The sequence below is a fragment of the Homo sapiens genome, chromosome 7 (genome assembly GCF_000001405.40).
Source record: "Homo sapiens chromosome 7, GRCh38.p14 Primary Assembly".
NCBI classification, from domain to species: domain Eukaryota; kingdom Metazoa; phylum Chordata; class Mammalia; order Primates; family Hominidae; genus Homo; species Homo sapiens.
The window spans coordinates 43,637,641-43,658,848 of NC_000007.14; the positions used below are offsets into that span (position 1 = coordinate 43,637,641).

A 21,208-nucleotide genomic window follows, 5' to 3' on the forward strand; every position below is an offset into this window, starting at 1 on the left:
AGTGATCAAGTTCCAGCCTGTTCAGAATCACCCATAAAGGCATTAAGTGCACAGGAAGTAAATGTGAACAGAAAAAATACCCGAGATAGCGGCTTTCAAATAGAAATCAAGGAGCACTTCACTACATAATACTATTTCCTATCAGGTAGATTAGAAAAGCCTCTCCATTAATTCAAACTCTACACTTACTTTTACTTCAGAACAGATGGCCAACCTAAGCCCTGGTTTTCTATAATTTGGCCATAGCAAAGAAACAAAATTCAAACACTAAGATAAAGTAAAAGTTGTCAGAGAACAGACAGATAGGAAGCACCACATAAATTCACAACATATAGACAATAGGACAGTGTGTAACTTAAAGAGCAAAAGCACAAAACTGTACAGTGCTCTGCCATTTATTTTAAAAGACTGTAGAGATTGGAATATTTATCTGAACACACTGACAAAAGTGCTCTCAGGGAGACACTTTTCACTGTATAATCTACTCAAAGAACACATAAATATGTTTTTAAAGAAACAACTCCAGAATAGAGATAACTTGTAACAACTGAAGACCTCATACTCTACTAGCATGTTTAAGCTCATTTTTTTTTTTTTTTTCCTGAGAGGCTTCTCTTCAATGAATATTAAGAATGTAGGAAGAGAGCTCATGGCTGTCCTTCATTGTAGACAACCACAATGGCATTAAGCCTGCTAATGCTAAGAGGGTTAAACTGACCTTTTCAAAGCAGATACCAGATTTCTGTTTTTGTAGGCTCTGGTGCCCAGAAGGAAGTTCTTTTGCTTTATAATATGTTTCCTTATAAGACTAATAAAACCTAAGGATACAATTATCTAACATGCGGTTAAGTTGTTTGGAAAGCAGATGGATAAGAACCTATTAGCTTTCTTTTTCCTTTCCTTCCCTTTCCCTTCTTTTTCTTTCCTTTTTTTTTTTTTTTTTTTTTTTTCTGAGACAGAGTTTTGCTCTTGTTGCCCAGGCTGGAGTGCAGTGATGAAATCTTGGCTCACTGCAGCCTCTGCCTCCTGGATTCAAGCAATTCTCCCACCTCAGCCTCCCAGGTAGCTGGGATTACAGGCGCCCGCCACCACGCCTGGCTAATTTTTTGTATTTTCAGTAGAGACGAGGTTTCACCATGTTGGCCAGGCTGGTCTCAAACTCCTGACCTCAGGTGATCCGCCTGCCTTGGCCTCCCAAATTGCTGGGATTACAGGCATGGGCCACCACACCCAGCCAGATGCTGTTAGCTTCAAACTAACTTTCCTAAGTTAACTTTATATGTATATGTACACATATAAATTTTCTAAGCTTTCAAAATGTTTGGAATAAAAACAATTATTTTGCAAATCTTCAACTGGGCAGATGGTTGGTGTCTGAAATAGAAATAAATAAAAGCAAAGCAAACAAAATATTCCAAAGTGATAGAGAATGTCCACAAGCTACTTAACAACATGAATTCAAGGTAGAGTGAAAAACCAGTGGTCTTCCTCATCATTCTCAGGTCAATAATTTAGAAAAAATCCCTTCAGTGCTACTAAGCTTCAGGCTTTGTAATGAGGACTGAAAATTCCAGGGGAAAGGAAGAGGAAGAGAAAGGAAAGAAATGAGAACTAGCAAAGATCAACAAACATTTTATTAATTCTGATTCCTTTTATCATGTGCTTTTTTATACAAAGCACTTTCAAATACATTACATTATCTTAAATTTATAATAGGAGTTTCTTTCGGATTCAGTTTAAAAATGACAAATAGCATTTGTTGTGCCCAAGTTAGAATTACACCAAAATTACCATGTGCTGGCACATACCATCATCCCACTGGTGGCTGGAAAACTGGGTTGCAGGAGTGTCTGTCACTGAGATGGGCCACCACCCCAGTGGCCATATGGTAGAGATGAGGGAAGGATGGACTAGAAGCAAGCTGGGTCTTCTGGGTCGTCTCTACTCCTTTTTCACTTCATCACCGTTTTCCCCACTGAGCTTGAACACAGGAATCTGCTGACCATCCTTGAGCTCTAAAAAGACCTCGTCAAGGTGCCACCTGAGAGAAACCAAAAGTATAGTATCTCTAATCTATGAAGGCTGAGGCAACAGCCGTAGTCAAAAAAAGGGGCGCGGAAAGCAGTTGTTTTGAATAATGCCTTAAATTTTTTTAAACATTATTTTGTGCGAGTGCTGTGTCAACACAATTTTTAACATTCTACCATGGGCTCTCATTATTTAACCAGCTTCGACTTCAAGGCAGGCTTAACAATGACTGACAGGCGAATGGAAGGGACATCAGGAAGAAGGAGCAGTTTATTTCTCATTTCCTAATTCACAGTGACCTTCAGTTCCTGGCATGGAATCCAGCCAGCTTGTACACTAATCCCAGGCTCAGAGGTCAGTGAGCCCAGGGTGAGCTAGGTGGGGCCTCCTGCTCCTTTTGTCCTTGGGAATTAAAATACAGCCTGGCTAAACAGCAAACATCTATGAGAGAGGCTTCCCGTGGGGGAAGTGAGTGGATGTAGCTATTGGCAACCAGACAAGCAAAGCCAATTAAGGGGTGGAGAGCTTATGCAAAGAATGTGATGAATAAATTCTGGAACAAGAGTCCATGCCCTTTATTCATTTATAACAATTGAGGCAGTCAAGTGAGAAGCTGTAACATAGCATCAAATTATGATAGACCCAGATCACTATAACTGGAAAGTTTTACAAATTCAACGGCATAAGGAGAGGGCAATTCAGTAGACTGTATGGATAAACTGGACTCAGCTAAGAGCCGCAGTACTGGCTTGCTGCCCAGGCCACGAAGCTTTCAGCTTCAAGCTTGAAAAATAATTCTTCCTATGCCCACAGTAATTTAACAACAAATGAAAACGGAGTTGGGGTTGCTTTCATCAGGAAGTCTTCCTCCCGCTCCCCCACTGCCGTCACCTTCCCAGGATACCTCTGAAAGGGGCCACCTCTGGATGAGTGGACGTAGAGAAGGCCCTCTGATTTGGATCCAGAGACAGGAATCTTCAACTGTGGGTGTAAAATGACAGAAAGGAGAGATGTAATTGGATAATTATTGTCATTTCAGAAGATGACAAAATGATGCTTTCTAGAGCTAAGCCTATAAAATCCAGTGATTCTCCACAGAAGTGAGTTCTTTTCTAACAGCCCAGCTGGAGAATCCACTTGATTTTCCAAATGTCCTGCCCCTCTTTGGTTGGCTGGTAAGGTCAATGGCAGTCTTTCCATTTGGCAAGGAGGACTCCTATGTCAATGCTCTGGGTACTTCCAATGATCGCTCAAAAGTCCACTGTTAAAAAGGAGCAAACTCCTGATACACGGAGCAACATCGATGAATATCAAAAACACACCAAGCCAAAGGGCTTTACACAGGAGGAGTATACAAGTATTTATGTTAAATTCTAGAACAGGCTAAACTGTCCTGGAAACCTGTTGTTATTTTGATGGATTACAAAGTAATTTTCAAACATCATTTTAAAAAAAAGAAAAGTGACTGCCTCTGGTGGAGCTGGAAGATGTGAGAAGGGACCCATTGGGTAGGGCACGAGGGAATTCAGGTGCTGGGAACAATCTACATCTAGATAACGGCTTGAGTGACACAACTGGGTGTATTTGTTAAAACTCATCAGATAGGACGCTTGGATTTGTGCCTTTCACAGAATGTAAATTTTACCTCAAAAAAAAAAAAAAAAACCAGGAACCATAACAAATATTAAACTCTACTTAATGATATATGTGCTTATGTGTATGATGTTTGAAAATTACTTTGTAATCCAACAAAATAACAATACAGATTCATGGAAACAGAGCAAAATCCAATTGTAGAATCCAGGTACCAGCTATAGGTGCTCACAGTATAAATTCTTTTGTCTTTTTTGTACGTTTGAAATTTTTCACAATAAAATACCAAAAAAAATTCACTGTTTTAAAGAGGGACCTATTGCCAGGAAATTGGTACATATTTTGACCTGGACCCTAAAGAACAGGCTTTAAAGAAAATACAATACATGAAGGCTTGTCTGAGAAAGACAACACAGAGTTCTCAGTTTCTCCTTCATCCCCAGCACCACAGGCTGGGCTCGTACCACAGGGATGCTGCCAGGTGCTGCCATGCCCATGCTCAGGGAGTCAGCCTGAGAGCCCGTAAGCAGTTGATCACACTCCGATTGAGAAAAAAAACAGTGAATGCAATATTTTTGGTTTCTCATGAAAACCAAAGAAGGTATGAGCCTCGCGAAGGAGACACAGGCACAGTTAATAAGGAAGCCCATCATGAGACAGGCATCTCCCAGAGTGCCTTCCTGTGTCCTCGGTGATGGCCAAAGATACCTCCCGGGGCAGGGGCAGGGGAGGGAATTGGGGCGGGGAGTATCCCACCCATTCCAAGTTGCCACCAAGAGAAGAAACTACTGAGGTACACATTTGTGCTTTCCAAACACACCTGAAGGAAGGCACAAGATTTGGAACATGGCTCCATAACTCAGGTGAATAGGCAGTCACCTAGTCACACTTCAAGAACAAATCTTTGGCCGGGTATGGTGGCTTCCGCCTGTAATCCCAGCACTTTGGGAGGCTGAGGCAGGTGGATCACTTGAGGCCAGGAGTTCGAGATCAGCTGGGCAATATGGCAAAACCCCATCTCTACTAGAAATACAAACACTTAGCCGGGCATGGTGGCGCACACCTATAGTCCCAGCTACTCAGGAGAGTGAGGCAGGAGAATCGCTTGAACCTGGGAGGTGGAGGCTGCAGTGTGCCAAGATCACACCACTGTACTCCAGCCTGGGTAACAGAGCAAGGTTCCATCTCAAGAAAAAATTTTAAAAAAGAACAAATTTTCAGGGTCCCACTGTTTGAGTCAAGCTACAGCTTTTCTCTGGAAATTATAGAATTAAGCAACAGAGTATACACTGAGCATCTCTGGATGCTTTAAAAAAAAATTTAAAAAGGAAGGAGAAAGAAATGGGCAGAAGCAAGAAGGATTCTGAAGAAGAGCAAACTCTGAGGGGCCAATGTCTGAACTGTGGGCAGCTGTGCTTCCATGGGTAGATGTGACACTTTACAGGTTGGTTCCTTCACCAGCCAGACCTTGCCAAAGATTAAAGCAGGAGTTCTGGTAAAGCAAAGTGTTGGTCACTGGTGACTATCTCACACACATACTTGGGAAAAAATCCCAATGTATGACAATTACTTCATGAACAACTGAAACATCTCACCTCTGGAAAAACTGTAAAAATTGCAAATAAAGGAATTTGGGATAAGAGGGCATATGCTGTATACAGGCATCCTCACAAACCGCTGATTATAAAGAAAGGACCCTGACAGAATGTCAAAAATAGTCCACAAATTGGAAGGCGTGCACTGAGGCTCCAGGTGGCCATGATGCAGCAGACTCTGAACTCCTGTCACTGCAGAGTCACAGCATTTGGCCGCAGTAGAAGCCAGAACCTAGCACCACAACCAACATAGTCACAGCATGGCCAAGGCCCCAGGGATGTGGGGAAGCCCAGGAAGGCGCCCTCTCAGCACCACTGGGGCCAAAGTGAAAGCTGGACAGGACAAAGCTCCCACCAAAACCACCATGGCCTTACCCTACTCTCACTGGGGTTCCTGGAGCACCAGATCATGGATGCTGCATCAACCAGCCCCAGCAAAGGCGCCTTTGGCACACAATTCCTCAGTGCTACAGCTGGGCTCTGTGCTGAGAGAAACGCAACAGCCAGACCTACCCAGTGGCTTTTCCAAGTTCTCAGGATTGCTGGGGTCTAGCCAAGTGACCAAAGGCAAGGAAGCAACAGACAGGCTCCGCCACACCATGGGAGCAATCCGGTGGCCTGGCACAGAGTGAGCACTCCACACATGCCCAGCCCTTCCCTGTGCTCCTCCTCCAGGATGTCCTCTCTCACGCAGTGTCGCTGCCGTCCTTCCACTCACGTCCATGCTGGACACTGGACCATCACCTCTGACCCACCCGCTCCTGATACATGACTGTTACCAAGTTCTGTCACTTGGATGCCACGATGGCTTCACATCCGTCTTTTGCTTCTCCAGGCCACACCTCTGGTTCATGCTCTCACCACTGCACACCAGTGTGGCCACATCTCTCTCCTAAAGATGGCTCCCCGTAGCCAGTCCCTGGGCATTACCAATCTACACAAATCCACCTTCTTTTAAAACCGAATATTTTAATCAGAATACCAGAGCATGAATTGCTTTTGTAGTTAGAAAAAAGTCTCATTAGAGCTGGGTCCATTAAGAACATACTAAAAATAACAAAAAATAATGTAGGTCGGATCACCTCACTCATCCTCCAAATACTTTACGGGCTTCTGCTGCCAGAGTCAAGCACACACCTTCCAAGATGACACTGTGGCCCCTGGTGGCCGCAGCCCCTCCTACCTGCCCACACCCACCTCGCCCACCTGTGCCTCCACTGCCGTATCACACTGACAGGCGACACAGTGATGAACTTTCCCAGGCATGCTGCTCCTCAGCCGGGTGTTCCTCTCCACCTTTCAAAGTCCTCACAGCCATCTCCCAGGCCTCGAGCCACTTCCCCTAGGCCTGCACAATAGTGACAGGGTTTCCCTCACCCTGTCTTACTCAGGAATTTTCAACTGTAAACCCCCAAAAGCCTTCTGCACCTCTATTCCCCACATAGCTTAGAATCATTTCTCAAACCAGAGCATATACTCAAAATATGTTTGTTAAACAGAACAAATGTGTTTTACATGCAAGTGAGTGTGATCAAGTACAAAAAGATAAGTTATAGCTAAAAAAATGGGTTGGTATTCTGTGGAAGCAATGTAAATAAATACACTTTAAAAATCAAAGTTTAAAGAGTTGGGTACATTTGAATGAGCACTGACTGGATATAGATGCATTTCTCTTTTTTTTTTAATTTTACAGACAATTTCACTCTGTCACCCAGGATGGAGTGCAGTGACATGATCATAACTCATTGCAGCCTCCAACTCCTGGGTTCAAGCGATCCTCCTGCTTCAGCCTCCTGGGTAGCTGGGATTATAGGTGTGCACTATCACGCCTGGCTAAATTATAGATAGATAGATTAGATAGATAGATAGATAGATAGATAGATAGATAGATAGATAGATAGATAGGCAGGCAGGCAGGCAGGCAGGCAGGCAGGCAGAGAGACAGAGAGAGAGAGAGAGAGAGAGAGAGAGAGAGAGACAGGGTCTTGCTGTGTTGCCCAGGCTGGTTTCAAACCCCAGGGCTCAAGCAATCCTCTTACCTCAGCCTCCCAAAGTGCTGAGAGCTATCAAAGCCAACATGGTAGCAAACCACCACTGGTCATTTCTCTACTACCTTCAATTCAAGATGGCGACATCAGCATACCCACTGCATTCCCTGCCACATCAATTCCCCAGAATGGAAGAAAAGTATACAGAAATATCTATAATATAAAATATATTTTATATAAACATTAAAATCCATAATAGAAAAACTTTTTTTAAAGGTGCCAAACCTAGCTTTACTTAGTGGATTTTCCCATCCCAAATCCTTAACTCCAGGACTTTCCAGGAGACAGTAGACTCTCCTCTCCTTCAGCAGGCACCAGCCTGCGGTTCGCAGGGAAAGCACATTACCTTGGCATCAACAATGTCCACGAAGTTTTCCCTGTCGATGAGCTTGAGATAATGGATGTTGAGAGGAGGGCCCAGAGCTTCCTGTGCCTCGGGATGGCTCTGCAGCTGCTCCACTGCCAACTTGTAATATAAAGCCCTGGAATGAAACTCTAAGGACGAAAGACACACTTATTTTCTTTATTGAACTTGGTCAGGTAGAATCTACTACACAGAAAATTAAATAATCCAACTGACGTACAGGGTAGAAACAGAAACGTGAAATCTGTGGATGGACGAATAATTAAGGCCATCTACTCTAAATTGTCCATTTTACAGACTCAAAAACCAAAGCACAGGCAGGCAGTGTTTTGCAGGGATGTGCAGATGACCTTGGGCCTTGACCTCATGCAGACCCTTTCTGCTTCACCTCATTTCTACCCTCACTCATTGCCTTATTTTGACACCTAAGAGGTTTGGTCAGCTCTTCTCTAAGTTTCCTCTCAAGTCTCTAAGTTTGCTCTAAAGTCCTACTATGATTCCATGACTTGTTCAAAGTGACACAGCTGGTCCATGGCAAAGCCGAGGCCAGAATCCATGATACCTGACTTCTCAACACTGCCTGTTCCACTAAGTTGAGACATAAAATAGAAAGACCACAACATTAACAACAAAACCCTCAGGCCTAGAAACAGGATATGAAAATGTTCATTCATCAAGATTTAAGCCAACATTTCAACTCAAACTGCTCTCAGTCTCAGGAATCCTTCTGAGCCCACAGGCTACCTGGGAACTCCGGGAAGCACCTCCCTGAAGCTGTAAGTTCTAATAATCAGCTGCCCAAAGGAGGGAGCAGAGGCAGGCTTCCCAAGCAGGGTGTTCAGTTTGGCCGCAGAAAGTGCTTCTCTTCTGAAGGTCCCATCACACTAATGAAGGGAAAGGTGACCTGACCCTGGAGAGGCCAAGGGAATCCCCCTCCTGGGCTGCTTCCCAGGAATAGGGATACAGGGAATACCACAGGCATGAACACGGTGCCAGCTATGATAGGAAAAGAAGGGACAGAAGCAGGGTCCAGACAGCTAATCTTTATTGAGTGATTTCTATGGCTAGGCACTGTTCTCAATATTCCACACATCTCACAATGTTCAACAGCTCTTGTGTTGTGAGATTCAATTCTCACCTCATACACAAGCACTAACATTACCACACATCACACCAATAAGGTAACTAATGCCCAGAAAGGTGACGGACTCCCCCATAAGGCCACATAGCTGGTCAAGAGCTGGAGCCGAGATTCAACCATTCAACCCAGGCAGTCGGCTGCAGTGCCCAGGTCTCACCGACTTAGCAGCCTCCTAAGGGAGAAAGGCTGTCACACCAGAAAGCTGAACCCTGACCCAAAAGTGCACCCATCCCTCTCATGTCCTGCCCCTGTCCCTTTGGCAGAGGGAAGAGGAGGCCAAATTATTCAGTCTGAATCATTCCTGGGAACGCTCATCTCAGGCCCCCTCCAGACTCTGCAACTCCACCAACTCTGCAGGATGGTGCAGAAAGGCTGGAGAGGACACTGGAGCCTGTCTGCTTGTCTGCTGGTGACACTCACATCCTGGGAAGAAGTGAAAATGTTGCAGAGTGGATGACGAGCCAAGCTGGGTGGGGATAAAGGAGCCTAAAAAAAGCCAGTCTAGAAAAAACTGCTGCCGCTTTGCCACCAGTAGCATTAAAATGACCTTAAATGTCCTGGCTGCTGACAGTAATTGTGGCCTGTCTTTACAAATTCAAATTTGAGTGCAGTGGGGCTGGAAGCGGCATCTGTCGGGATTTTGCCATCGTGGTCTCTGCTTTTATTTTCTGCCCCTGCCAGAGTTCCTTGCTCATGGTCCCTCCTCCATTAAATCAACAGCAGAGAATGAAAGTGCAAAAAAAGTCTGACAATGCTGGACGCACAGCCACAGCTTTCCCCACCTGTGAACCATCTGGTATTCCCCTTCCCTCTGTCCCTTCTTTATATAATCTCAGAATCTTGATGGAGCCCCTGTGTGTGCACTGGACTGAAAGCCCATCGTGCTTTGCTGGGCTTCTTATGCATATTAGTCCTGGTCCTTTTATTTGTACTCGTTGCTCCTGGAAAAACTGAGATTACAGGATACAGAGGAAGCTATAGCCAACGAAATGGTGGACTAGCCTTTAAAATCACCCTCTCCTCCTTTCTCTAATCTAAACAAAGCATCTCAAGTATTTCCTCTGATGGAGGAGCAGGAGCAGGCTAGGAGGAGGTCAGGCCGCAGGCGGCTAGCAGGATACTTACTTTGAATGAGGTAATACACAATGGCAAAGCCCCCGGCATAGAACACACCGTGGAAAAGGATCCTTGCTCCCAGAGGCATTGACCGCCTGCTTCCTGCATACTTAAAAACAAAAGATACAAATTTATTGTAGGATTCCCAGTTTTGTGCCAAGGGGATTTGCCCGGCTTGGACCCCTAAAGGAAAGAAGCATTAAGGAAGCCAGAAAGGAGGCCAGACCGCCCTCCCTCATTTGCTTCCTTTCCAAATGCCAGGGTTGGTTCTGAAGCCAAACTGAGTGCCCTCCTGAGGGTGCCCTCTCGAGAGTGGCCCATGTCCAGGACCCATGCTGTGGGGGCCCTGCCACCCCCAGCCAGCCCAGCACAGAGCGAGCATTCAGCCCACCATCCTGACAGACACAGCCCAGACTGTGTGCCAAGCCCCGCATGGCCAGGAAGCACAACCACTTTGTCTCAGGCCAACTGGTAAACAGGAAGCTTATCCTTTGTGGCAATGGCTGGTCCTGTAAGCCTGCGAATGGGCTGGAGCTGTCACTGGCTCCTTTCATATTTTGAAAAATGCACCACCCTTGGGATGAGGAAACTCTGGTTATGACTCAGGCTGAATGAACAGATGGAGGGATGCCAGCTCGGTAAATACAGCATACCATCCATCCACTCTTATAATATGTAAGAGTATCAAAATGAGTGTAAAGTTAATTACAGTAATGTGATCTGGGAAAAGTCATTTAGTTCTCATAATGAAAACGGTCAGAGCATCTCTGAAGAATGTATTAGTCAGATCTTGCTTAATTTGAAGAGAGCTCAACAGGGTGAGGCAGCCAGACTGGGTTATGGAGAGGTTCCCAGAGTGTTACAGCTTCCAACGCCAGCATGAGACACGAGAGAAAGACAGAGTGGGAAACAATGCAGAAAATGCCCATCCCTCCTGTGAAGTTAAAGCACAAGTGAACCCTAAAGACCAGGAGAAGCCCATAACTATTCAGGGAGTGACTTTCTTCTATTGTCTAACTCGAGAATACCCTGGCAGGTTCTAGTGGGGAACTTGGCCCTGGAACATTCCATTACCTTTTGCCACATCATAGCACAACTCTCTTGAAAATCATCAAAGGCAAGTTGTCCTGCAATTAGAAAAGATTTTACATTAAAATCATATTTTTAAAGCCCAGTTCTCTCTAGTCTCATACAGCCAAGATTTATTACCAACCCAAGCTTTAGAACACGAACAAGAAGTTAAAATTAAACTCTAAAACAAGCCTTGTCTGTGAAAGGCCCTGGTTTTTCCCCCTTCTGCTGCCAAATTAGGAAGAAAAAACAAAGCCTGCGGGTTTCCTGTCTGTGTCCTATGTAGTTTTTGTTACAGCAACCAAAGAACCGGTGTGCACAAGGGAGAACCGCAGACAGCAAGTGCTTTGACCACAGCACAAACACAGGGCCAATCAACAGGAGGCTGGACCTGCAGAAGCAAGATGCTAGCAATAAAAGCTGTACGTGACAGAGTGAAAACAGCACTTCAGAGTTAAAAAGAAACAATAGTACAGTAAACTTATACATGGACTTTAACAATATTGATAATACCTAATACTTCTGTCTCTGACTATTATGTGTCTTGTACTATTCTAAGCACTTTATATAATTCATTTAATTCTCACAACCCTTTGAAGTAGGAACTATTATCATCACGCTCATTTTGCAGATGAGTAAACTGAGGCACAGAAAGGTTAAGTAACATGCCCAAAGGTGCACTAATAAGTGAATAAGTGGTAGAACTGGGATTCAAATTCATGCAGTCTGGCTCCAGCATCTGCTCTTTCAACCACTGTGGTACACGAGCTTTAAGATATCTAATTAAAGCAATATTGAAATGTGAAAACAAACAGTGTCTCTGAGCTAAAATATATTCTTACTGTTCAGTGTAAAAGTCCTTGGCAGGCATGCCTTTCCTGCTATTTTTCCAGACAAGGTGGATACATATTTGTACCTTCATTCCTTCTTTTGTTTAGCAAACGGTTACTGAGGGTCTGATCTGGTCAGACAGTAAGAATATAAAAACAGTATCAAGATATAAGGAATTTTCCTTGGTCCTGAGGGGAATACAGACAATTAAACAAATAATTATAACATAGATCTATCACATGCAACTGCACGGCTATGCACTGCACAACCCTTGTAGGGCACCATGCACATTAGAGAAATCAAAGATTTGTATCTTTATTAAGACAGTTTGCCAACAGTTGGAAGTACTATAAAGTATCTTGAAGAAGGGATGGGGATGGTTGTCTTTTTCTAATTTGCACAAAGGTGCCTTTGGGCTAGCAGCAGCCTGGTTAGTGCAACCAGACATATGCACCAAGAGAGGAAGTAACACTCAGGAAGTGGTCAACCTTGCTGCAGGGCATCAGCGGAGGTTTCACAGAGGAAGTTTACCTTGAGAAGAGAAAGGTGAAAAGAGCAGAACAGCTTCAAATCCAGGAAATGACAAACAAAGGCAGAGTGAGCAGAAACAAGAACTGCTGAAGTGTAAAGCGCAGGAGAGAAGCCACAGGAAGCATGTCCAGAAATGGAGGGGTGAGAGCATAGTGGGTGATTACTGCTAAGAAAGACCCTCGACCCTGAGCTGTCGGACTCTGCAGATGAGGGGCTACAGAAAAATCTCTCTGGGACAGGGGTGGGCAGATGGGGGAGAGAAGGCAATGCAGCAGGACTGCCAGAGGACACCAAAGCCCAGAGCTAAGACCAAGGTAGCAAGTGTGCCGCAAAAGGGTGGTTTCTTAAAATACTTAGGATGGGTCTTATTTATTTACTTATTTTTATACTTGCTCATTCCAAAAAGGATGATGGAGCTAACAAAGATACATACTTTAGAAGAAAAGAAAATAGGTAAGGAAATGAAGATAAATGAAAAATAATATTCAGAAAAGAAATAAGGCTGAAATAAAGTTAGAGCACAATAGGACATACTGTCATTCACTAGGCATTTCCTCAAGGTGCCACATATTTGACACGGCTTCCTATCTGCTCAATAGACAGGGAAGCTTGAGGAGCTACAAGGTCCAGAGTGTCCGTGGGGAAAGGCAAACCTGCCGCTGAGTTGGAAGACAACAGCTGCTAACACACGAAGCCTCAGAAAGCCCTCGCCAGGACTCAGAGATTCTCTCGAGTGACTCGTGTGGCAAACATCCTGTATTAAAAACAAGATAACAAAAATAAAAAGTTCCCAACTTCCAAATGACTATGTTTTATAACATCCAACTCTGAAAGCCACATTCATACTCCCCCACCACCAAAAAAAAAAAAAAACAGAAGAATTATTTTACAAGCAGCCGAAAGAGTGAGGACTCAAGAGTGCTCAGGCAGTGAGGATCAACCAAGTCTCCCCAGAGCCCTTCCACGTCAAAGCAGGGGTTGGGGTGTGAGTGGTGGGCAGGAAATGGGTTCAGGGGTCAGTGGGGGGCAGCAGGGGCTCCTTTTCAACTAGCTTCAGTTTACCTGCCCCTTCAGCTGCCTTTCAAAGAGTGTTAGGTAGCCCCCGACCTCACAAAAAAACAAATATTCAAAAAGGCACTGTAGAGGAATAGATGGAGTTTAGGCTAACTGCACGAATATTACCTCTTAGAACTAGTCTTCTAGTAAGAAGTGAAAATTTAAAAATGTGATGTGCCATTCTCTGCAATAAACTCAAGTTCAATCAGTCTACTACATTGCCAAATAAGGGCAGATTTACTTGCTTAACTGTTCGCCAAAAGGCAAGGGTTGCATCTGTATTGAAAATCAAGGAACTTGTTAGCCACAGGAAGGTGGCACAAAGCACTGGCCAAGGTCTCTGAGGAAAGCAGTCTTAACTCTGCTCTGATACACAAAGGGGTGACTTTGGCCTCCAAAGGCAAATAGTTTATAAACCTTTTCCAAAGTACTAAACCCTTTCTAGAGTCAAAGCACAGTCTGCTAAACGGATGCAGCAGCTGCTCAAGCTGGCACAGGCTGGAGGATCCTCCTGTCAGCCTCCCCTCAGCCAGGACCAGAGGAAGCATCACCAGGCGGATCAACAGAACAGCCAGGGAGTTCAAGCCATAGACAGGATCCCACAAGGCAAGGGTGGAAGCAGGAAGGTGGTGCAACTTCAACCTGGGAAGCACATCAGAATCACAGGAAGAGCTTAAAAAAAAAAAAAAAAAAAAAAACAGGCCAGGTGCGGTGGCTCACGCCTGTAATCCCCACCTTTCAGGAGGCCAAGACAGGAAGATCACTTAAGCCCAGGAGTTCAAGACCAGCCTGGGCAACTTGGTGGAACCGAAACTCTACAAAAAATACAAAAATCAGTCAGATGTAGTTGCATGCACCTGTGGTCCCAGCTACTCAGGAGGCTGAGGCAGGAGGATGGCTTGAGCCCAGGAGGTGGAGGTTGCCATGAGCCGAGACCATGCCCCTGCACTCCAGCCTGGGCAACAGAGCGAGGCCCTGTTTCAAAACAAACAAACAAGACAGATGTCCAGGCCACACCCAGACCAATTAAAATAGAATTGACAGCGGAAAGACCCAGGCAATGGTGGGTTTTAACCTTCTCAAGTAGTCGCAATCTGCAGCCGGGCTTGGGAACCAGTGGTATACTGGGAACAAAGCACATAAAGCAGCATTACAGGTACCTGAAGCAGGAGCAGGGCCAAAAGCCTGGCTATGAACACAGGCCATGTGACATTCCCAGCAGACCTATTAACACCCAGAGTCCTCTAAATCAGCGCTTTGCCAAGCATAACCTATTCACTTCACCTCTGTTCCTCTGGGTAACATGGCTGGCCTGGCTTGTCCTACATCTGGGTAACTACTACGGACCAGGCACCATGCAAGATGTTTGATATGCACTACTCCTGGTTCTTAAAACAATCATGAAAGGTAGATATTATTTTTGCCTTTCTGAACTAGAAAAAAAGCCTTAAGAAAGAAAGGTTCTGAAACTTGCTTATGGTCATGCAGCTATTCCCTATCAGAACTATTACATGCATCTGTCTGACTCCAGAGGGCATGGTCTCTCCACTGAGCCAAGACCATGGATTTCAGAAGAATCAGCTTCTCACACAGGTAGGATGTGCTGTCCAAAAGCCATTTCCATCTGCCAGAAGCAAATCACTGCTACTCTGGGAAATAGTTTTAATCAATATATCCCCAAGTTATAATTTAAGGGAACAAGGTAAAAAAAGGAGATACAAAATCACTTAGAGACTACTGGGAGGAAATGGAGAGATGGTTCTTCCCTATTGTTGAATGGGCATGGCCCACTGCTACTATCACTCTGGGGATTACATATCATCCAGCCTTTAAAAATCGAACCGTTGTCAAGGGTCAGGGTGGGAGGGGGTGGGGGGACAGTGGAAAGATAGTACAGAGAATTATGCTTAAGACAATAGAGATGAAAAAAGTAAGGCAATATAAATTAAAATGAAAAAGAATAAGAAACAAAATCCAAAAGGCCAAAAATAAAGATTAAAACTTTGGCATTTAAGAAAAAGAAGTATGTGGCTCACACCTGTAATCCCAGCACTTTGGGAGGCCGAGGCGGGTGGATCACGAGGTCAGGAGATCGAGACCATCCTGGCTAACGTGGTGAAACCCCGTCTCTACTAAAAATACAAAAAATTAGCCAGGCATAGTGGCGGGCACCCGTAGTCCCAGCTACTCGGGAGGCTGAGGCAGGAGAATGGCGTGAACCCGGGAGGTGGAGCTTGCGGTGAGCCGAGATTGCGCCACTGCACTCCAGCCTGGGCGACAAAGCGACACTCCGTCTCAAACAAACAAAAAAAAAGTATGAACGGCAAAAACAAAACAAAAGAAGGCTAAACTTTTTTGAAGAATGAAATGTCTCAAATTTAAGGTAAGGGAGACAAAAGGATAGTACTAAAAAGCAAAATGATAAAAGCATGTGAGTAAACATGATAAAAGTTTTTTTAAGTAAAAGACTATGAAATTAAGCATTTTAAAAATTAAGTATACAAATGTTAGCGCTGACTTTTTAACCACATTTTGGCTCTGAAATCATGGAATAACTTGAATGCTTGTAGAGGAAAGGCTTACCGTAACCCTTTATTCTTAATCACGAGGCAAGCTCCCTTTGTTAAGCTGAGTTAAGAATGTTAATAAAAGGCTGTCCAACACCCTTTCTACAGGTTGGCACAAAAGTAATTGTGGTTTTCACCACTGAAAGTAATGGCGAAAACCACAATTACTTTTGCACCAACCTAATATCAGAGATGTCTGCTACTCATCCCATGAAGACCAAGACTGCCTGGAGAGAGGGTCCCTGTGCCAATGGGAAGGATTAATGATTTTTTTTAAAGATTAATAAACTGTAAAATGACGGAAGATGCCATTTAGTTTAAGAGGGTATCAAGCTACCACTTCCTGATATGACTTCAGAAATTCCATTTAAAATACCTATAAAGATACACACAAGAAAAGACAGAAAGTAGGGCCTGCTTGGAACCATAACAAGTTGCAAAAGTCTGAGGAAATTTCCACTAACCACAATGTAAGTGAAGAGAGAAAGAGAAACATGTCCATGGACAAATGAACCCTGGCAGAGATGGCCAGAAAGCCTGTGGAGAAAGGGTTCGGCCCTTCACCTCTCTCCACACCCAGCTCAAAGTTTCTGGGTTTGTAGCAATCAGGAAACAGGCTGGCCAGCCCCAAACTGGGTATGAGTCCAGCTTCCAGAGACAGCCATTGTCATTTCCCCACCCCACTCTGTTTCTATATCCATTCAGAGACTACAATCCTAAGTAAACCCAGCAGTAAGGAGAGGCAGGATTGGCAGCGGTGCAATAACAAACTCACTCTAAGAAATAAAAGAATATGGAGAAAAATATCACTTTGGGTACTTAATTGGTTGTAGAAAGACTGCCTGTTAAGAACCACACGTGATGGGAACAAAGGACACTACACGCTAAAGAAGGAAAGGGAAGAAACTCAAATAAGGAGTGATGTCAAGGAAACTCACAAACTAGAATTAACATAGCAGAAAGCCAAATTCATAATGAAGTCATATTCAGGAAGTTATTGAAAAAAAAATCCAAATGCATAATGAAAGAACAAGAATATAAAAATGAAGAGCAAGAAAATGGCAAGTGGAGATTTAGAAACTAAGATCTGTTCAACAGATCATTGCTTCTGATGTTAAATAACTAGAGTAAATGGAAGATGAGATAAAACAAAAATGATACTAAAAGAAAACTTGAAAAAAGACAAAAATGTAGAACATGTTCCAGTTCCGTTCACCAACACCTCCTGGTAAAATTTTACATACCATTTTCCCAAAAGGTATACCAACAAAGGATGACATATTGGAGTAGCCTTAGGCTTCTTCTCTGTAACTACAAATTCCTGAGAATAAAGGCCCAACCAAACTGTGTGAAGAGGAAGACATTATAAATTTGGAACAAACTCAAGATATTCTATAATCTACATAGACATCCTGAAAACATTATTTGAAAACATATTGCAACTTATTGAAAAAAAATCCAAATTCCTTAAAAATAATGGCATATTAGGACCAGCAGCATGCACTGAGACCAATTAATCCAAATAATTGTTTACTTATAAAATGAACAGAAACATCTAGTGTTTTGTTATTTTACTTTTTATTATTTTAATTATTTTTAGTATTTTAGATGGAATCTCACTATGGTGCCCAGGCTGGTCTTCAATTCCTAGCCTCCAGTAATCCTCCTGCCAAGTACTAGTACCCCATCTCTACTAAAAATACAAAATATTAGCCGGGCATAGTGGCATAGTTTTTAAAAAGACATACAATATTTAAATTTACAATACAGCCTAAAATTCCAGATATTGCCGGGCATGTTGGCTCACGCCTGCAATCCCAGCACTTTGGGAGGCCGAGGCAGGCAGATCACTTAAGGTCAGGAGTTCGAGACCAGCCTGGCCAACATGGTGAAACCCCCATCTCTACTAAAAATATAACATCAACCGGGCATGGTGGTGTAATCCCTGTAATCACCTGTAATCCCAGCTACTCAGGAGGCTGAGGCGGAAGAATCGTTTGAATCCTGGAGTCAGAGTTTGCAGTGAGCTGAGATTGCGCCACTGCACTCCAGCCTTTGAGACATTTTCCATCTCAAAAAAAATTAAAAACTCCAGTATTAACATATAAAATGTAGGTAAAGACAGCCCCAGTGAACCACACCACCTGATAGTTGTATCTTCCCCCAATTAATCCAACTGGCTGTATGACTCGCTTCAACCAACAGGAGGAGGCAGAATTGATGTTGGAACTGTTCCATGCCTCCACTTTAAGGAGGCTTGGCAGTTTGCACTCTGGCACTCTTGGGAAGCCTAAGCCACTATATAAGAATTATGGTTATCCTGCTAGTGGGGTTCTTGCTACATAAAAAGACCACGTAAGAAGCCACTTTGTGAGGAAGAGGCCTAAGATGGGTGGGAGGGAGAAGATGCCCCACTGTTCCAATATTCCAGTTGAACCCAGTCATCCCTACCAAGGCACTAGCCATGTGAATGAGCTGTCATGGACATTCTAGTTTAAGTGGGCTACCAGATGACTGCAGTACCAGCAGAACATCCATGGGACAAAAGAACCATCAGCTGATCCAAGTCAACCTACGGAATCATGAAAGATAATAAAATTATTTTAGTTGTAAGCTACTAAATTTTGACAAGGTTTGTTATGCAGCCATTGAAAATGGAAATACCTTTTACAATATCTTCTAAAAGGATTTTTAAAAACCTCTTTCAGATATGTTACTTTTAAGAGCAGCAATTTAAAAAGCAAAGAAAGACTTAAAAATAGAAGACTTGGAACATTCAAACAAACACAAGGAGGGCAGAAATATTCAAAGAGTTGAATTTAAGACAAAACATAGGCCAGGCATGGTGGCTCATGCCTGTAATCCCAGCATTTTGGGAGGCCAAGGCAGGCGGATCACGAGGTCAAGAGATCGAGACCATCCTGGCCAACATGGTGAAACCCTGTCTCTACTAAAAATATAAAAATTGGCTGGGCATGGTGGCGCAGCCCTAATCCCAGCTACTCGGGAGGCTGAGGCAGGAGAAATCACTTGAACCCAAGAGGCAGAGGTTTGCAGTGAGCCAAAATCGTGCTGCTGCACTCCAGCATGGCTACAGAGCGAGATTCCATCTCAAAAAACAAAAAAACAAAAAGTATTTGAGACAAAGATAAACAATAATACAGTAGTTATTAACATAACATAGCAAATATCATTATACCAAAATAAAGCCAAAAACTACCACCTACCGCAAATATTAAAAAAGAAAAGAAAAGAAAAGAAAAGAACTAGAGAGGGAGACCACAGATCGCTTTCCAGTTTTAGCAAATCCAGCTAACAAAAGAGCAGTCAAGGCCGGTTGCGGTGGCTCACGCCTGTAATCCCAGCACTTTGGGAGTCCAAGGCAGGAGGACTGTTTGAGTCCAGGAGTTCAAGACCAGCCTGGGCAACACAGTGAGACCCTATCTCAAAAAGAAATAAAATAAAATATAAAATAAAAATTAAAAAAAACAGTCAAGAACAGAGAATTTGAGTAATATAGTTTTTACCTTGCAAAGTACAACATGTGTGTATGTGTTATCTGTGGCGATATATGTGTAAACACTAGCAGGTAGCACCCATCCCATAAAGCTTTGTGGGACTGACATAAACCAACCTGTTTTCACTGCCCAGTCCTGTGACTACTCCGGGAAAGTAAATCTGAACCACTCTGGAGAGGGCAAAGCAAGTGTATAGATTAGCAATTACATATCTTAAATCAACTTCATCTGAACCATAGTGGAACTATCTTCTCATACTACTGCAAGTGGCTAACCATTATCCCTAATTTTGAAAATTATGGTAAAAATCTGAAATTTAAGTTTTAAATTAGAAGATGGAAGAACTCAAATCAGTTTGATGCCATTTTCAATGAGAATAAAACAAACTGAAAATGTTAACAGTTGTTACCCATTCATTCAATCAACAAATATTTGCCAACTGCATCCAAAACCAGGCGCCGTGCTAGGCACTAGAAACAAAAAAGAGAACAAAACAGACAGGTCATTTATGGACCTTACCCTGTGCTGTAGTGTGAGGAGACAAACAGTAAACAAATAAGATCACTTCAGTTAGTAATAAGTACTTTAAAAAAAAAATAGGGTGTTAAGAAAATAAGAAGAAAAGCCACAGACTGGGAGAAAATATTTACTAAAGACATCTGATAAAAGAATTGTTACCCAAAATATGCAAAGAACTTGTAAAATTCAACAATAAGAAAATGAACAACTTAATTTGAAAATGGGCAAAAATGCTGAACAAACATCTCACCAAAGATACAGAGAAGGCAAATAAGCATATGAAAGGTGCTCAACATTATATGTTTATTAGGAAATTGCAAATTAAAACAACGAGAGGCGGAGGTTGCAGTGAGCCAAGATCCTGCCACTGTACTTCAGCCTGAGAGACAGAGTATGACTCTGTGTCAAAAAATAAAAATTAAAATAAAAAAATTAAGTCTATTTTATTTATTTTTTTTAAAAAAGTTACTGCTGAAGGCCCGGCGCTGTGGCTCACGCTTGTAATCCCAGCACTTTGGGAGGCCGAGGCGGGTGGATCACGGGGTCAGGAGATCGAGACCATCCTGGCTAACACAGTGAAACCTCGTCTCTACTAAAAATACAAAAAATTAGCCCAGCATGGTGGCGGGCACCGGGAGGCGGAGGCAGGAGAATGGCGTGAACTTGAGAGGCAGAGCCTGCAGTGAGCCGAGATTGCGCCACTGCACTCCAGCCTGGGCGACACAGCGAGACTGTCTCAAAAAAAAAAAATTTACCACTGAAAAGAAATTAGCTCAAAGATGTGATAAAATGTCATCTGAGAACAAATCAAACCTCTCGAAACTAAGATATAACATAAACACCTGATAAAACATATGCTAATATTCATAATGAATTATAAAACCCAAATAATGAATGAAATCGAATTGTTTTCTAAACTGTACTTTCTTAAGACCAAATAACATAGTAAGGGTTGTTCTCCCTCTAAAATCTACTCTAATTTCACTCCTACCTCTCGCCAGTGTTCACTATCAAAACCTTGAAATATTCAAGTGGGAAATGCCATGTGAAGACTCTCTCAAAAATAAGCAAACAAATAAATATCATGACATACTAGAATATGAAAGGGGGAAGCGCAATTTTAATGTGGCAGTGAAGAACGGCACCTCTGCCAAGGTGACATGTGAGACTGGAGGGATCATTTGAAAACCAGGGGAAGGGCACGCCAAACACGCCAAGGCCCTGAGGCAG

General features: G+C 43.2%; 1 protein-coding gene across 86 annotated transcripts in view, besides 6 other annotated features; it reads right to left on the reverse strand.

Moving 5' to 3' along the window:
* Window positions 1-21,208, reverse strand: part of COA1 (cytochrome c oxidase assembly factor 1) — a 121,067-nt gene that overhangs the window by 29,184 nt on the left and 70,675 nt on the right. For 23 of the 86 annotated variants that reach the window (NR_146945.2, NR_135582.2, XR_007060085.1 and 20 more), the window contains 5 exons: window positions 10,960-11,012; window positions 9,895-9,994; window positions 7,611-7,759; window positions 2,933-3,009; window positions 1,809-2,041 (listed from right to left, as the gene is read on the reverse strand). Coding sequence is in view for 30 of the 86 variants with exons in the window: in NM_001371313.1 (NP_001358242.1) it covers window positions 1,942-2,041; window positions 2,933-3,009; window positions 7,611-7,759; window positions 9,895-9,994; window positions 10,960-10,974 (441 nt within the window). In the remaining 56 variants the exon portion in view is untranslated. Of the gene's footprint in view, window positions 1-1,616; window positions 2,042-2,932; window positions 3,010-7,605; window positions 7,760-8,831; window positions 9,995-10,959; window positions 11,013-11,798; window positions 13,073-14,109; window positions 14,190-18,392; window positions 18,514-19,575; window positions 19,630-21,208 lie in introns of those variants that run through there. The other 63 variants (NR_135581.2, NR_135580.2, XR_007060093.1 and 60 more) reach the window with 33 other exon arrangements.
* Window positions 9,170-10,031: an enhancer, noted in NCBI's record as "NANOG-H3K27ac-H3K4me1 hESC enhancer chr7:43686409-43687270 (GRCh37/hg19 assembly coordinates)". NCBI's record gives its function as "activates a minimal SCP1, AML or CMV promoter by ChIP-STARR-seq in primed H9 embryonic stem cells {active_cell/tissue: H9 hESC(primed)}" and the evidence as "EXISTENCE:reporter gene assay evidence [ECO:0000049][PMID:30033119]".
* Window positions 9,180-9,299: an enhancer, noted in NCBI's record as "active region_25912". NCBI's record gives its function as "activates an Ori minimal core promoter by ATAC-STARR-seq in GM12878 lymphoblastoid cells {active_cell/tissue: GM12878}" and the evidence as "EXISTENCE:reporter gene assay evidence [ECO:0000049][PMID:35858748]".
* Window positions 10,330-10,624: an enhancer, noted in NCBI's record as "tiled region #11574; K562 Activating non-DNase unmatched - State 17:Gen3'". NCBI's record gives its function as "activates a minimal TATA promoter and a strong SV40 promoter by Sharpr-MPRA in K562 cells {active_cell/tissue: K562}" and the evidence as "EXISTENCE:reporter gene assay evidence [ECO:0000049][PMID:27701403]".
* Window positions 10,894-11,755: an enhancer, noted in NCBI's record as "H3K27ac hESC enhancer chr7:43688133-43688994 (GRCh37/hg19 assembly coordinates)". NCBI's record gives its function as "activates a minimal SCP1, AML or CMV promoter by ChIP-STARR-seq in primed H9 embryonic stem cells {active_cell/tissue: H9 hESC(primed)}" and the evidence as "EXISTENCE:reporter gene assay evidence [ECO:0000049][PMID:30033119]".
* Window positions 12,398-12,487: an enhancer, noted in NCBI's record as "active region_25913". NCBI's record gives its function as "activates an Ori minimal core promoter by ATAC-STARR-seq in GM12878 lymphoblastoid cells {active_cell/tissue: GM12878}" and the evidence as "EXISTENCE:reporter gene assay evidence [ECO:0000049][PMID:35858748]".
* Window positions 14,199-14,942: an enhancer, noted in NCBI's record as "H3K27ac-H3K4me1 hESC enhancer chr7:43691438-43692181 (GRCh37/hg19 assembly coordinates)". NCBI's record gives its function as "activates a minimal SCP1, AML or CMV promoter by ChIP-STARR-seq in primed H9 embryonic stem cells {active_cell/tissue: H9 hESC(primed)}" and the evidence as "EXISTENCE:reporter gene assay evidence [ECO:0000049][PMID:30033119]".